A 15,371-nucleotide genomic window follows, 5' to 3' on the forward strand; every position below is an offset into this window, starting at 1 on the left:
ATTTTGTTTTGTTTTTAAAACCTGTCACTCGGGAGGCTTAGGCAGGAGAATCGCTTGAACCAGGGAGTCGGAGGTTGCAGTGAGCCGAGATCGTGCCACTGCACTCCAGCCTGGTGACAGAGTGAGACTCTGTCTAAAAACAAAACAAAACAAAACAAAAAAAACTGGCACTTACTGTATAAAAATATTTTAATTGAAGTCTGGGCTTCTCTAACTCCTAGAATGAACATGTAAAATACATCAGCTACAGAGTATCAGCAACATATTAATACATACTCATAATTTCACTTTCTGGGGACCCAAGGCCCATAAAGCAGAGAATAAAAACGGATTATCTTGATATGGTTACATTAGTCTCTTAACATGTAGACGGAAAGCTGCTGTTGTAGGTATTTTTAAATGGTGAGCTCACTATAATTTCAAAGGATTAACAAATTTATTCTGACTTTCTCAATTTAGAAAATTATTCATCTTAGTTAACAGGAAAATAATTCAGATGTAAAGGTTGCAATTTTTCTTAAAGATGATCACCTACCAGCCCAGGCTGTATCTGAGCTATCTCTGTTACCCAAATGAGTCCTAGAACTGCTGGGACAAAAAATATATAATTTATAGATAGACAGATTATATGTATCACCTTGCAGATAGTAACGTTCTGTAACTTGGCCCTTTCTCAGGAGGGCCGTGGCTATAACTAGGCACTGCAAGTGACTATATTCCTCCATTCACTGGGATTTTAAATACTGTCCTGGTGAATGCAGCATATTAGAAGAACATGATTAAAGTATTCACAGATAATTCAAAGACACCAACAGACAAACCTGGTAAGGAAAAAATAAATCAACACTTCCAATGAAAGACTACTTAGATAATATAAAACTTACAATGTACATTAGCAAAACTGTATGGTCCAAGTTGAGGAAAAGAACCTTTATTGCTTATTTCCCCTCAAAGTCCTGGTATTTTTATTTAAAGAGCCTGAGAGCACCTAGTAAAACCAACATTTTCTGTAGTTCAGCTGTGAAGAAAATCATCTGGCTTCAGGAGTGATACACATGACTAAGAGCTGGTCAGTTGAGTAATTCAATCCACCCTGTCAAAGAGATTGGTTTAAAGATAGACACATGACCCAGTCAAAGCCAATGAGAGTCAATCTTGGGATCAGCTGGAAAGACATAGAGAGGCATGCTCACTCTTCAGCTTGACTTAAATTTAGAGATGCTACAGACTTTTTTTTATCATTGTCTAAAAAGGAAGCCACCATAAAAAGCAAAGCCAAGCTATCTGAGTCCCTGGACTAAGGTATCCTAGAAATCAGTAGCCCCTGTGTATGTATATAAGCCAACAACAGATTCTCTTATTTGCTAGAGCCAGTATGAACTGGGTTTGCTATTAATTGTAGTAAAAAGAGCACCAAATGACAGGCTCACTTGGAGAAAGACAGCCATTTCAACAAGTCCCATTTTGAAGTACCTCAAATAATTTCTTAGCTTGAAGTCCCAGTAAATGGAATGGGCTAATAGCCAAATTAGACCACTGACAACCACTGTCAGGGACACATATATACACTGGAGAAAAAAATTCTTTTTCTTTTTACACTTTAAACACATGCAATTTTTATTTGTCAATCATACCTCAGTAAAGCTAAGGAGAAATATTATATCCTCGTATATTATGTATCCAAAAACATAAACCAATACCTTTTTTTAAAAAAAAATCCATTATTCTCTTAAATCATGTAGAAGACAAAAAGTAGAGTTCCAAGCCATTGCTACAACAATGCTAGGTTTTATAATTGTCCATGTATTTATCTACAGTGATAGTACTTTTTTCTTTGTACATCTTTGAGTTATTCTCTAGTATCTTTTCATTTCAGCCCTCAGAAGTTCCTTTGGATTTCTTGTAGGACAGGTCTAAGGGTAACAAACTCCCTCAGTTTTTGTTTATCTGGGAATGTCTTGAGAAGAAAAAATCCTAAGCTGCATTGGATCTGATGCAAAATTATGGCCTATATATAGTACCAGATCAGCTTCTGGCATTAAAAGTACAGTCATTTGATTCCATTCTAACTGACACTCTCCCAAAATGTGTTAGGCTACCAAATCTCAGTATTTTCTACTAATAAGCAAGTATAATTCACAACAACATAGCAGCAGAGAAGTACATTCAATTTTCATTAACATCATCAACCATTACTCTGATGACAAGCATTCCTCAGGATTATGCTCATTTTCAAACACTAAGTTTCAGCTTATACTCTTCATTCTTCTTCTCACTGCTACCTTGCATCAGCCACAAAGCCTGCACTTTGGGGTTGGAACTGCCAACAAAAAAATAATGATTGCTCTGCAGTAACTGAGCAATTAGAATAATATTTCAAATGCTTCCCAAATCTGTTGCCCACATACTCATACTTTGGGTTTGAGAGAAGTCAGACCAATGAGGCTGAATACTGACAGCCATCACTCTATGCACCCTGCAGCCTTTGCGGCATGTTTATGTTGCTCAGTTGAGATTGAATAACACATAAGCACAAACTGGGCCACATCTAATAGTCTGCTACATTCATAGACTCAGCCCAAGTGTTTCTTAAAAATACTCCAATTAAAGGCAACACTGAAGTAACAAAGTAAGTAGTAAAGAGGCCATTTCTGTGATCCACCCAGACTTGTGACTTTTGAAAGATCACCTACCTCTGCTGTTTTTTCATCTGCAGAACGTAATAGTCTAACTAAACAATCACCTCCCAGAGCTAACATTTGAGAAATCTTGTGATCCCTAAGCCTGAAAGCTTAGAATCCTGTGGTCCCAGGCAATGTTATTGGTACTCTGTAATTAAGTTATGCAGCCAGTTAATATTACTCATACTGGGCCTTTGCAAGTCTATGGTGATTTTCACATTAGAATGTCAAACTGGGCTGAAATATTTTTTTTTGACACAGTAAGACTTAGCTTGGAATTTGAATTAAGAGAAAGCTTAGGCTAATGGTTAACCTTGGATTAATATTTATTTTACTAATGTTAGCTTTGTATTACATGGTGATATCCTATTTCCTCCAGGATACTGTTTATGCCATTATAAAATTCTAGCTAACGCCACTAAATTCTAGGCATAAAGTATTGCTAATAAATACCATTAATTGACTATTCAGAAATCAAAAGTATAATCTAAATACACTTAGCGAAGATGAATGCAGGGATCCTCTAACTGGCTATGATATTGTTTTCTTTCACAGTATGTCCTAGAATGACTGCTGACAGCTGCAGTGCAAGGCTGATAGCAGTACAAAGTAAGCATTAAACCATCAGTTATAAGGCAGTTATAAAGCATCTCTTTATGATTTTTCTCCTAACAGAATTAAGGGCTTGTCATCCAGACCAACAGCAAAGTAGATACTCTGAAGCAAGGGATGGTGACACTGTCCTGGGTACCAACCGTAGACAGCAGGATGGGGCAGGGGGACCTCAAAGTGGACTTTAGAACCCAAATAGACTTAAGTCTGAATTCTAGTCCTATCACTGTCTAGCTGTGTAACCCTGGACAAGTTATCTTATCTCCCTGAACCGCTGGGTCTCATCTATTCCATAAAGCACTGCTAAGAAGTACTTCCCAGGGTTATTAAAGAGAATACATGAGAGAATTACATACGTAAAATAGATTACATAGTGCTTGAACACTCACAGTGCTTGGCTCACCTTTCCTTTCTTCTGGTCCACCCTCAGGCAAGTCACTTCTGAGCACTGCTAAGAGAACGCAGCCCCACAAAGGTTCTCTCCTCCAACCACAAGTTAAGCCGAAGGAGCCGCTTGCTGGTTGAGTTGACACTCTCTAGTAAATCCTGGCATAACTTCTGTGGCAAGGTGAGTGACCACACGGGACCGAAAGAAGGAAAGACACAAACGTCCTCATCAAAGCACTCATGGGCCACAAAAGCACAACCTTAATTCTCTTGCCTCTGATTAAACCTACAGCTACCTGAGCATTTTCCACAAGTGATGAGACAATCTCCACAGCATAGGTAGATTCCTCCGACTTCATCTCAGCCTTGGATGTTGTCATTTGAGCTCTTTCTTGGAAAACAACCATCAGAGAAGCCTGTGGCTGTGATACACCCCTTTACTATCTCCCTATTAATTCCCTGATTGGTAATTGTAAAAACCCATTAATCTTACTGTGCCACTTCCTGCCTGGCTTCTCACAGCATGGTGCTGAGGAATGGAGATTCTAGAAGGTGTTAGGCCATGAGGTGTAAAATGAGAAGAACCCATACAAAGAACGTTTCTCCAAGAAAGCTTCAATTCAACCTCCATGTTACCAAATTATCATTTGTATTTTCCAACCAGAGTTCCAGGTCCCAGTAGCATCTGCCCTGAGGAGCTCAGGAAACCCCTTCAACAGTGCTGCCCCTCTTTACCGCTTCTTTACATCTCAAATTAACCTGCAAGTCCAGATTTGCAATGGAACTGTGCCGATGCCCAGGCTGGGAACAGCAGGCAGAGCCCCCAGGAGGCTAAGGACCTCAGAGTCCCCATATCACCTCAGTTTTCTTTCAACATGAAACCAATTCCCTCTAGGAAACATGCTTAACATCAAAAAGAGTTGTAAAATGGGGCTGGGTGTGGTGGTTCATGCCTGTAATCCCAGCACTTTGGGAGGGCAAGGCGGGCAGATCACATGAGGTCAGGAGTTCGAGACTAGCCTGGCCAACATAGCAAAACCCCGTCTCTACTAAAAACACAAAAATTATCCGGGCGTGGTGGTGAGTGTAATCCCAGCTACTTGGGAGGCTGAAGCAGAAGAGTCGCTTGAACCTGTGATGGGGAGGCTGCAGTGAGCCAAGATCATGCCACTGCACTCCAGCCTGGGCAACAGAGCAAGACTCCATCTCAGAAAACACAAACAAAAACACAGTGGAGACACGCACCGTAGTCTTATAGAAAAAAAAAAAAAAAAGAAGAAGAAGAACTTAGACAACTCTTCCTAATGTAGTGATTCTCAACCTCTAAAACATATAAGATCCCCTGGGACACTTTTCAAAATTGCAGGTAACTGGCACCACCCCAGACACACAGAATCAGAAACTCTGGGGATGGGCTTGAGCATCTGTAGATTTTTTTAAAGCTCCAAATCAAAGGGTGAGAAACACTGGCTTAGTCTATGACTGGCAATGAAGTGTAAGTCAGACTTGGAATCAGGTTTTCCTGATTTTTCCCAAAATGCAGTACTTCTCATAGACTGCTGGGTGGGATATTGTACCTAAGAAGGTTGAGAAATGTCCAGCTGGAAATGGATTCTGTGGAGAAGAAAACTGGGAACCCAGAGGTTAAACAAAACAAGTCTTTACTTTAGAACTCCCAGAATCGTCCTAGGCTCAGGTACATCGTACCCTACCAGAGAGGAATCCATTACATAGTATTTTCCCAAACTTATTTGATCACGAAATTCTTCTTTGAAAAATATCTCACAACTCTAGTAATCTCCAGGAAACACTCTGGGAAACGCTGGTCTCATGTGCTTGTCCTTCAATAATGATTTCAAGAGGTTTCCTGGAAGGTCAGTATGGTGCAAACATTCACTTAAAAATGTGTTTGAGTTATTGGCCTTAGGGCTTTGCTGACTGCACACGGCTGCACAGTCAGGGCTGCAGGACCAAAAACAGCAATCGCTGCAAACTGACTCCATTCACAGACTCATTACGATCTCCTGGGATGCTTTTCAAAATTGCAGGTAACTGGCACTGCCCAAGACACACAGAATCAGAAACTCTGGGAATAGGCTTGGGCATCTGTAGTTTTATTAAAGCTCCAAATCAAAGGTTCAGAAACACTGGCTTAGTCTACGACTGGTAGTGAGCTGTAAGCAAAACTTGGAATCAGATTTTCCCCAAATGCAGTGCTTCTCAAAGGCTACTGGGTGAGGCCATTGTTCCTAAGTTGAGAAATGTCATGGGTGGTAAGGATGCTGTGTCCCACCCTCCCCCACCTAGGATGGGGCTCCAAACATCTCAATCCTTTTCTAACTTGGTCCCAATATAAACAAACCTAAGTCATGACTAATAACTATCAAGTTATGAATGAAGATGAGACTATGCACACATCACTAAATTTCCTGGAATAAGGTTACCAGACATTTTCATGTTCTTAGCAATACCACAAACCTATAAGTACCTTATTACATACAGATGCCCTTTATGATATTATTCTACATGAACAGCTAGTGGCAAGGGCATAGATACTCCTGCATTACAAGAGAAACTGGTACTCTCCAACCTACGGGGCCTGGAATGCCACAGTTATCAAAGGGGAAGGCTTTCTTCTTCTTGTTTCTCCTTTGGAGAGTCAGAATTTTAAATTCTTAACACAAGTAATAAACTTCCAGCTATGATGGGTTTCATATTTGTGATACCTTTGTGATCAGCATTACAAATATACAATAACAGTCCAGCAATGGTGGCTCACGGCTGTAATCCCAGTGCTTTGGGAGGCTGAGGTGGGCAGATCACCTGAGCTCAGGAGTTTGAGACCAGCCTGGTCAACGTTGCAAAACGCCGTCTCTATAAAGAATACAAAAGTTAGCTGGGCAAGGTGATGCATGCCTACAGTCCCAGCTACTTGGGAGACTGAGGCAGGACAATTGCTTCAGTATGGGGTGGGGAGGTAGGTTTCAGTAAGCAGAAATCACACCATTACACTCTAGCCTAGGTGACAAGAATGAAACCCTGTCCCCCATCCCCTCAGCAAAAAAAAGAAAAAAAAAGATATATACATATACTCACACAAACACATATATATACATACACACCAATGAAAAATGCCATAGGCAGGGTATTCAATTGGCAATGACAAAGTTATCAGTATCATATTAATACTCCTAATATCATATTCTAGCCAGTGAGAACTCATTGCAAATATGATTTTTTCTGTAGAGTATTATTTGATTCCAAGTAACTTGTGAAGTAAGTTCATCCAAGCAAACTCAGAAAGAATTCAGTGATTTATATCCTATACAAATACTGATTACCTAAATGTAAATATCACTCGTGAGCATTGCCCATAAATTGCAGTGTGCCCATGCACTCAATAGACAAATTTACTGAGGTCCTCTTATACACCAGGCAGTATTTCAGGAGCTGGAAATACAGCAGTGAACAAGAGATAAGAACCCCCGCCTTCATGAAGCTTTCATTCTAGATCTAGGAATCCAAATAAATATCAAGTTAATTGGATTTTTGTCAATTTTTTTGCAAGGTTGGCACTGAAAGAAATTATTCCAGCTGCTCTGTGCATGACATGAGTTCAAGACAGGATATGGGGGATGCGAGAGGGCAGAAGACCCAGATCCTAGCTGTACTTCCATATACTACCTTAGCTCCTCTTTTTACGTCTCTGAGTCTCAGTTTGCTCATCTGTTCATTAAGTACTGGATTGGAGCCTGACACATTACTCAATGCATAGTAGTTGAGGGGTGTTTGAAAATGTGTGGGGGTGGGGAAGCATTCTGGTTGACACAATCACTGAGTGGGCCCAGGAATGGTGAACATCCTTTATGTCACAGGACAAGCCTATCCCAGGGTCACGGAGCTCTTGACAGCAAAGATCGGCTGACTATGTTTGTGGTCCTTTCCCATATGCCATGCTATTCCATTCTTTCTAGGATTGTCTAGGGTGTTATGATCCCTGATTTCTATTCATTTGCAGTAGGCTGGGTAAAGCAGTGGGCGTTTCTTTGAGGAGAAAACCATCTGCCAACATCCTCTCCTCTGAAAACGTCAGACTAGGTAAAGCAGGCAGCTTCTAGTTATCATTCTAAAGCTACCTAATTTTTCAACATGTCCCCCAGTTCCTTTTAGGAAGGTTTTTGTTTGTTTGTTTTTGAGATGGAGTCTTGCTTTGTCACCCAGGCTGGAGTGCACTGGCACGATCTTAGCTCACTGCAACCTCCGTCTCCCAGGTTCAAACAATTATCCTGCCTAAGCCTCCTGAGTAGCTGGTACTACGGGAGTGCACCACCACATCTGGCTAATTTTTGTATTTTTAGTAGAGATGGAGTTTAATCACGTTGGGTTGGCCAAGCTGGTCTTGAACTCCCGACCTCAAGTGACCTTCCCACCTTGGCCTCCAAAAGTGCTGGGATTATAGGTGTTAGCCACCGTGCACAGTCTAGGAAAGTTTTTTCATACCCAAAGCTCAAGTAACTGAAATTAAAATAATCTTATCAACTAGATCTCATTTCTACTAGGATTTAGCTAATTTGAGCTAATTTGATTGTAGCTTGTTACAAAAAGGTATGTTAGTACAGTCCTGGTTTTGAGAAGATTTACAGCATCCTTCTAATGCCTGAAGTGGATAATTACAAAATATGTTGCAGCCAAATCATTAATCCACAGAAAATAGGCAGTTTGTGGAAAGAATATGTGAAAAAAACCAAAAAGGTTAAGTAAGAAAATCTTATCACATACATAGTGTAGTTAAACAGTCATTCTCTTCTTCACTGATGAGCAGACATGATGCAATACTGCCCAAGAAGTTAAAATCAGACCTCTCTAGGTTAGACATATTATAAATGAAAGAAAGAATTGTCACATCCTACCAATTAGGTTGAAATGTCATCTTATTATCTCTGCCTCCTGCCCAAGTTTGGTGACGTTGTCATCTCTCTCTTTAGTTATTTAACCCCTAACCTGCCATTAAGACACATATTTGAGTGGCTGTGGGCGACACGACTGCAAATCATCCCAGAAAATTTCTTTTAACTAAATGGATGATTACTAAACTGCGCACTGAGGTACGCTGAGGCATCAAAGGGAATTCACAGAGGCACTTTGAGATATTTTAACTTTGTGGCAGAACGTAGTAATAGTAGACATCTATTGGACATCATACAGTCAACATTAGATTGAGCTACATTCCTTTTGGCGATATCTTATCTTTGCACAACTGCCCTTTTAGTGGTTTCTGTAATGAATGCAATTGCTGCACAAAATGAGGTGGTGCCTAATCTAATTCCAAGGTTGAGACATCGCGCAGTGCTCAAGAGATGCACACATCCCACTGCTCACTGTGGTTGAGAATGAGATCAAACTATTATTTTTTCCAATTTATTGTATTATTTTCTCAAACAGCTTCTAAGTCAATAGGACATAAATACTCATAGCTGGTGGACCTAACTACTTTTTTTTTTTTTTTTTTTTTTTTTTGGAGATGGAGTCTCGCTCTGTCGCCCAGGCTGGAGTGCATTGGCGCGATCTCGGCTCACTGCAACTTCCACCTTCTGGGTTCAAGCAATTCTCCTGCTTCAGCCTCTCATGTAGCTGGGATTACAGGTGTCCACCACCACACCTGGCTAATTTTTTGTATTTTTAGTAGAGACGGGGTTTCACCATGTTGGCCAGGCTGGTTTTGAACTCGTGACCTCAAGTGATCTGCCCACCTTGGCCTCCCAAAGTGCTAGGATTAAAGGTGTGAGCCACTATGCCCAGCCCTAACTACTTAATTTTTAGCCATTAGGTATTTCCTTTGTTCAAGGGATACTGGAAAAATTAATGAGACACTAATGGCACCGTGAACCAAGAACGGTGAAGAACCTCTCAACTATACCTCTTGGTCAATCTCCAAAATAGGGCAGAGAATAGGAAGGGTTCTTTTTCACAGAGCTGATATTTAGAAGAAGAGATCAGGACCTGGACCCACCTCCTCACAAAGCCACAGCAGCAGCAAGAGCTGGATTGGTCTCACTACTAGTGGAAGGTCAGGACCGGACCGGCAGATGGTCAGCTCCCCACATTTTATGCCTACTGCTCCCTTTATGTCTGGAGGTTCAAGGACAGAAGGGAAGAATTACTTAAATACACCCTAAGTACAGTCTATAAGCTAAAGACCAATAGACTTCAATTTTCATTTTAAACTTAGAAGTGTGAGCTATTCAAAATAATTCACCATGAGACAAAATATAAGTATACTGTAAAAAATCAGTGATAGTCACTTATAGTCCTTTTTGGGCGTTTATATTCATCCATCTTCAATTTATTCAACTGAAGTCCAACCGTGTAACAAAGATTAGGTAGGAACTTTGGCTACAAGCCAAACCATCTTAATTGTAGAAAGGAGAGTTAAAGAATGCTAATTTCATTGTGGACTAGTAATTGACTGATAGGGATAAAAAATAAGCATTTAGGCTGTGTGGAGTGGCTCAAACCTGTAGTCCAGCACTTTGGGAGGCTGAGGCAGGAGGATCGCTTAAGCCCAGGAGTTTCAGACAAGCTTGGGCAACATAGTGAGATTCCTCTCCACAAAAAAAAATGTAAATATAAAGATAAAATAATATAAAGGGATAAAAGCAATTCTTATTAGTTTTAGGGAGAAAATGTAGCTATATTTAGTATTTAATATATTACAGTATTTGCTATATTATAGTATTTTTAAAAATCTGCCATCACCTTAATTGCATCATCAAAATTAACACTGTCAATGAGGAATAGATGTGATACCTTGATAAGAACACATCATTTATGTAGAATTCCTGTTCAGCATGTATAACCTGAATCCAATTACAAGAATCACTCATCTAACCCAAAATGAAAAACAGCCTTTAAAAGAAAAAAAAAGATTGTGTACTTCAAAAACATTTTCACAAAAGACAAAGAAACGCTATGAAAATGCTTCAGGTTAAAGGAATATAGAGACGTAATAACTAAATGCAATCCCTGATGTTAGTACTAGAGGGGAAAATAGTTTAAAGGACATTAAGTCAATTTACAAAACCAGAACCCAGTACATTAGGCAAATTCAAATAAATGTTAAGTTTACTGATGCTGATACTTGCACTTTTGTTATATAAGAAAATATCCTTATTCTTAGGAAATATACCACTTAGCAGGAAAGGGCTATGATGTATACACTTATTCTCAAATGGTTCAGATAAAATAGTATATATATTTATTTATGTACGTATATACATGAGGGGGAACAAAGAGACAAATAGCATGGATAAAAAGCAAATGAGCAGGGTATAGTGGCCCATGCCTGTAATCCCAGCATTCCAGGACTTCAAGGCAGGTGGATCACTTGAGCCCAGGAGTTTGAGACCAGCGTGGGCACCATGGCAAAACTCAGTCTCTACAAAAGATACAAAAAATTTAGGCAGATGTAGTGGTACACACCTGCTGTCCCAGCTACTTAGGAGGCTAGGGTGGGAGGATCTCATGAGCCTGGAAGGCAGAGGCTGCAGTGAGCCAAGATCGCACCACTGTGCCACTGCACCACTGCACTCTGGCCTGGGGGACAAAGACAGACCCTGTCTCTAATGAAAAAAAAATTTAAAAAAAGGGAAATGATGTAAAATGTTAACAACAGGTCAATCTAAGTAAAGAACACATAAGTTCTTTGTACTATTCTTATTTTTGCAACTTTCTTATACAGACCATACCCCACTACAGTGGTTCAAATTACAATTTTTCTACTTTACATTGGGTTTAACAGGGTATTAAATGCTTTTTGACTTACAATATTTTTGACTTACAATAGGCTTATCCAGATATAACAGCATCATTAAGTCAAAGAACATCTGTAATTTGAAATTATTTCCAAATATTTTCAGTAAGTAAAATGTCTATGTGGCACTCTGGAGTACAAGAAGCTAACTGCTTCAGTAACTAAATAGGATGCCTGCACCACAGCTAAAGAATGTACGATATGTATCAGAAATACGTGGGCTTAATGACAGGATGTTCACTGTCAATCAATAGTGTGATGGTACCAAAGCACATAAACGCAAGTTCTCAGTCATCAGCCTGCTGAAGACTGTGCACTAAGTGATGTGCAGGAACAGTGAAAAGAACTGAAGATACCAAACTTAAATGAACAAGATATATAGGGACCTTACTGGTAAGGTTCACCATATGCAAGTGAAGTCTGCATCATTTTGTGGTCCTCCTGGGGCACCACAACAGCTAGGCTCCTCAAATGATTCTGCTCTGTAGGTCTGGAGTGGGGCCTGGGGCCCAATGGCTCTCAAGTGCCCCAGAAGATAGCTGCAGATGGCCCACGGACTACACTAGGGCCATCTGCAGGTTCTAGATGACCCTTTGCATGCTGGGAAGCCCCAGCTCCCATTAATGTACAATGATTTGTTCTTTTGAGGAAGTCTGTAGATTTCTTTACAGGGTATGAATAACATCAGGAAGGGTGGTTTTCATCTTAAATCAAATGAGCTGAAGACTCAGTACAGAGAAAAAGATCCTTGAGGTTAAAGGACACTGTGCAGCTCCTCTCATTCTGCCCAGAAAATTCCTACACATGCTCCAAGAATTCTGCTCAAGCATCACTTTTTGGGACTGATTCCTACATTCCTTCCCTTGAGGGCTGGATGAGAGCCCACTTATTGCTCCACAAGCCCATCTGTCTCAAGACCCTTCTCAACCTTGTGCTGAAACTTAATTTTCCTTCCCTGTCTCTCCCTCTAGGCTGCTTCAGGATGGAAGGAGAAGGACTGGAATGGTGACTTGGAGACAGAATATCAGAACTCAGCTGGGGACATCATGAATTGAGGGTGCTGGTGGAATATGCCATGAAGATGGTCAGGAGTGTGCATCTCAGAGGAGTGGTTTGAGCTGAGGGTACATATTTGACGTCAGCAGTTTGGATAAAAGTTCACCACTTACAACAGAAGCAACTACACAGGTGAAAGAGAATGAGAAGAACAGAAAAACATGGACTGCTAGAGAACATCAGTATTTAAGGCACGGAAAAGGAGATTATGAAGAAACAGCTAGAGGTGTATGAAAAAACTACCAGAGTTTATTGTCACAATATAGAAATAAGGCAAGGGAAGTGAGAGTCTCAAGGACAGTGGTCAAAGTGCCAAATGATGGAGAGAAATCAAGGAATACCTAATATGTGTAATCCGGCACTCAATACTAAAAATATGAGTTAAAGTACGTGGTATCAAATTACAGTGAGACGAACAATAACATTGAGACTCAAACACACAAGGACCTCAAAGGAAGAAAAGTTAGGTGACCATTTACCAAAGAAAGAACTCAAGCTGCCCACATGCAATTAGCTAGTCCACACCCAGGCACCGTCTTCATTCCAACTTTAGGTCGTGACTCAAATTAGTCACAAGGAGTGCAATGGCGTGATCTCTGCTCACTGCAACCTCCACCTCCCAGGTTCAAGCGATTCTCCTGCCTCAGCTTCCCAAGTAGTTGGGATTACAGGTACACGCCACCAGGCCTGGCTAATTTTTTTTTTTTTTTATTTTTACTAGAGACAGGGTTTCACCATGTCAGCCAGGCTGGTCTCGAACTCCTGACCTCAGGTGATCCACCCACCTTGGCCTTCCACAGTGCAGGGATTATAGGCATGAGCCACCACACCCGGACTTTAATTTTAATTCAATCCATTTTCCTACTGTCAGGACCTTTACTCCTTTTATATACCTACCCTCCAGGCTTGGCCTAAGGTTGGCTATTCACACGTGTTATAAAGTTAGAAAACACATTTGATGATAGAAGTAGCCCTGTCTGCAAGTTTTTATCGTATATGAGATTTTGTGTCTGCGGGCTCCCCATCAATTCTGTTGGACATTCTTCCAATAGATTCCTTTCCTGCTTAAGTAAGCCTCATTGATTTCTGTTTCTTGTACCTAAGAATCCTAAATAAAAATCGGCATTTTATTTTACTAATAAAATTTTAAAACTTAACTATCATTAATTTTGTTAACCATCCCGTTTTAAATTTTATTAAGAAAAAAAGGCTAGAACCTCAAAGTAAAGGTTATCCCTTTAGAGCGAGTATTAGCTCTTTGAGAACAACATGCTATTTTTCTCATTTCTCTGTGGATGACTGAGACTTTCACCAGAGACTGGATTCCAATCCAAGAATTGGTACTTGGTAACCACAAAGCACATTTAAAGTCCAACACGCAGTAACAAGTCTCAATATATGTTTGTGAGTTCAGAACATACAACTCTTTATTAAAACATTTAAGGGTAAACACTAATATTTCAAATTACCATTTATTTTAAGAACTTAAATATGATTTTCATGAAAAAATTAAAGTATCAGCTTGGATTAGATATGTGCCCAGTGGAAGAGATGAATTTTCTTTTCTCTGGGGGACTTGACTATATGATCATATTTGTAATGTTAAAAAAAAAAATCTGGCCAGACATGGTGGCTCACACCTGTAATCCCAGCACTTTGGGAGGCCAAGGCAGGACCCTGTTTCAAAAACAAAAATTTAAGTAACAATTGAACTGTTTGTTTCCAGAGGTTATAATTCTTTCCTTTGTCTACCCTCCACTCTAATTTTCACTCCCTCTCTTATTCCAGACTTCTCTGCACAACTCCATCAGATTCTTGCCTCCCTTTCTCATTTTCAGTTAATGTATTTTTTTTTTTTTTTTTTTTGAGACAGGGTCTCACTCTGTCACCCAGGCTATAGTCCAGTGATGTGATCTCAGCTCACTACAGTCTCAACCTTTCTGGCTCAAGGGATCCTCCGACTCTAGCCTCCCAAGTGGCTGTGACTACAGGCACATGCCACCACACCGAGCTAATTTTTAAAAATATTTTTATAGAGACAGGGGTCTTGTCATGTTGCCTCGGTTGGTCTTGAACTCCTGAGCTCAAGCAATTTGTCTGCCTTGGCCTTCCAGAGTGTTGAGATTATAGGTGTGAGCCACCGTGCCCAGCCTCATTTTCAGTTCCTCAGGAAAGGTATCACATTGTGGGTCAGAAACTGACTGAAAAGAGAGCTACTTCCTATGTGTCAGCTGAACATTCTGAAATTGCATTCTTTCAGACACCAGTGTGATATTGACAGTTTTAGAGTCATGATTTTCCACAAGAAAGGACTGTTAGTGTGATGAGGGGGAAAATGAAAAAGCCTAAAGCAGTTGGCTTCTTATGAACAATCAAATCAAACCCTGGAGTGTGTCACGCCCTCTGCTTGTGACAGAACAAACATTTCTGCTCTTAATCACAAAAGTAATTTTTAAGTATCATACAAGTATTTCTGATAAGCAAAAAGATCCTATTATCTTTGCTGAAGAAAAACAAGTGAGAAAGAGAGTAATTCTGAATCATGTTTTAACTGCAAATATAGGCCACAAATTGTAAGAAAAAAAAAAAAGACAACAAAGTCTAAAATTAAGTCCCAAAGATCTTACCACTGTAAATACATTTTTTCATACATAACACATTTTGGAATAAAAAGTGATTTAAAAATCTAAGCAAAGGAAAAATAAAGCTCAAACCATGAACTCTAAAAAATCTAATTCCTTTCAATTATTTTTACTTTTAAAGGATAATCATTATAAAAATAGACACTTTGACTTTTTATTTTTAATTGTAAAATTCATGTAATG

The 15,371-nt window shown here is 39.9% G+C and overlaps 1 protein-coding gene across 57 annotated transcripts in view; it reads right to left on the bottom strand.

Moving 5' to 3' along the window:
* Positions 1 to 15,371, bottom strand: part of CSGALNACT1 (chondroitin sulfate N-acetylgalactosaminyltransferase 1) — a 353,748-nt gene that overhangs the window by 177,309 nt on the left and 161,068 nt on the right. For 8 of the 57 annotated variants that reach the window (NR_148902.2, NM_001354477.2, XM_047421969.1 and 5 more), the window contains one exon: positions 3,697 to 3,851. The exons of 33 other annotated variants lie outside the window; for them this stretch is intronic. The gene's annotated coding sequence lies outside the window, so the exon portion shown is untranslated. Of the gene's footprint in view, positions 1 to 3,682; positions 3,852 to 6,406; positions 6,555 to 9,690; positions 9,810 to 15,371 lie in introns of all 57 variants that reach the window. 16 more of the 57 variants (XM_047421960.1, NM_001354489.2, XM_047421970.1 and 13 more) reach the window with 5 other exon arrangements.

The sequence above is a fragment of the Homo sapiens genome, chromosome 8 (genome assembly GCF_000001405.40).
Source record: "Homo sapiens chromosome 8, GRCh38.p14 Primary Assembly".
Classification (NCBI taxonomy): Eukaryota; Metazoa; Chordata; class Mammalia; order Primates; family Hominidae; genus Homo; species Homo sapiens.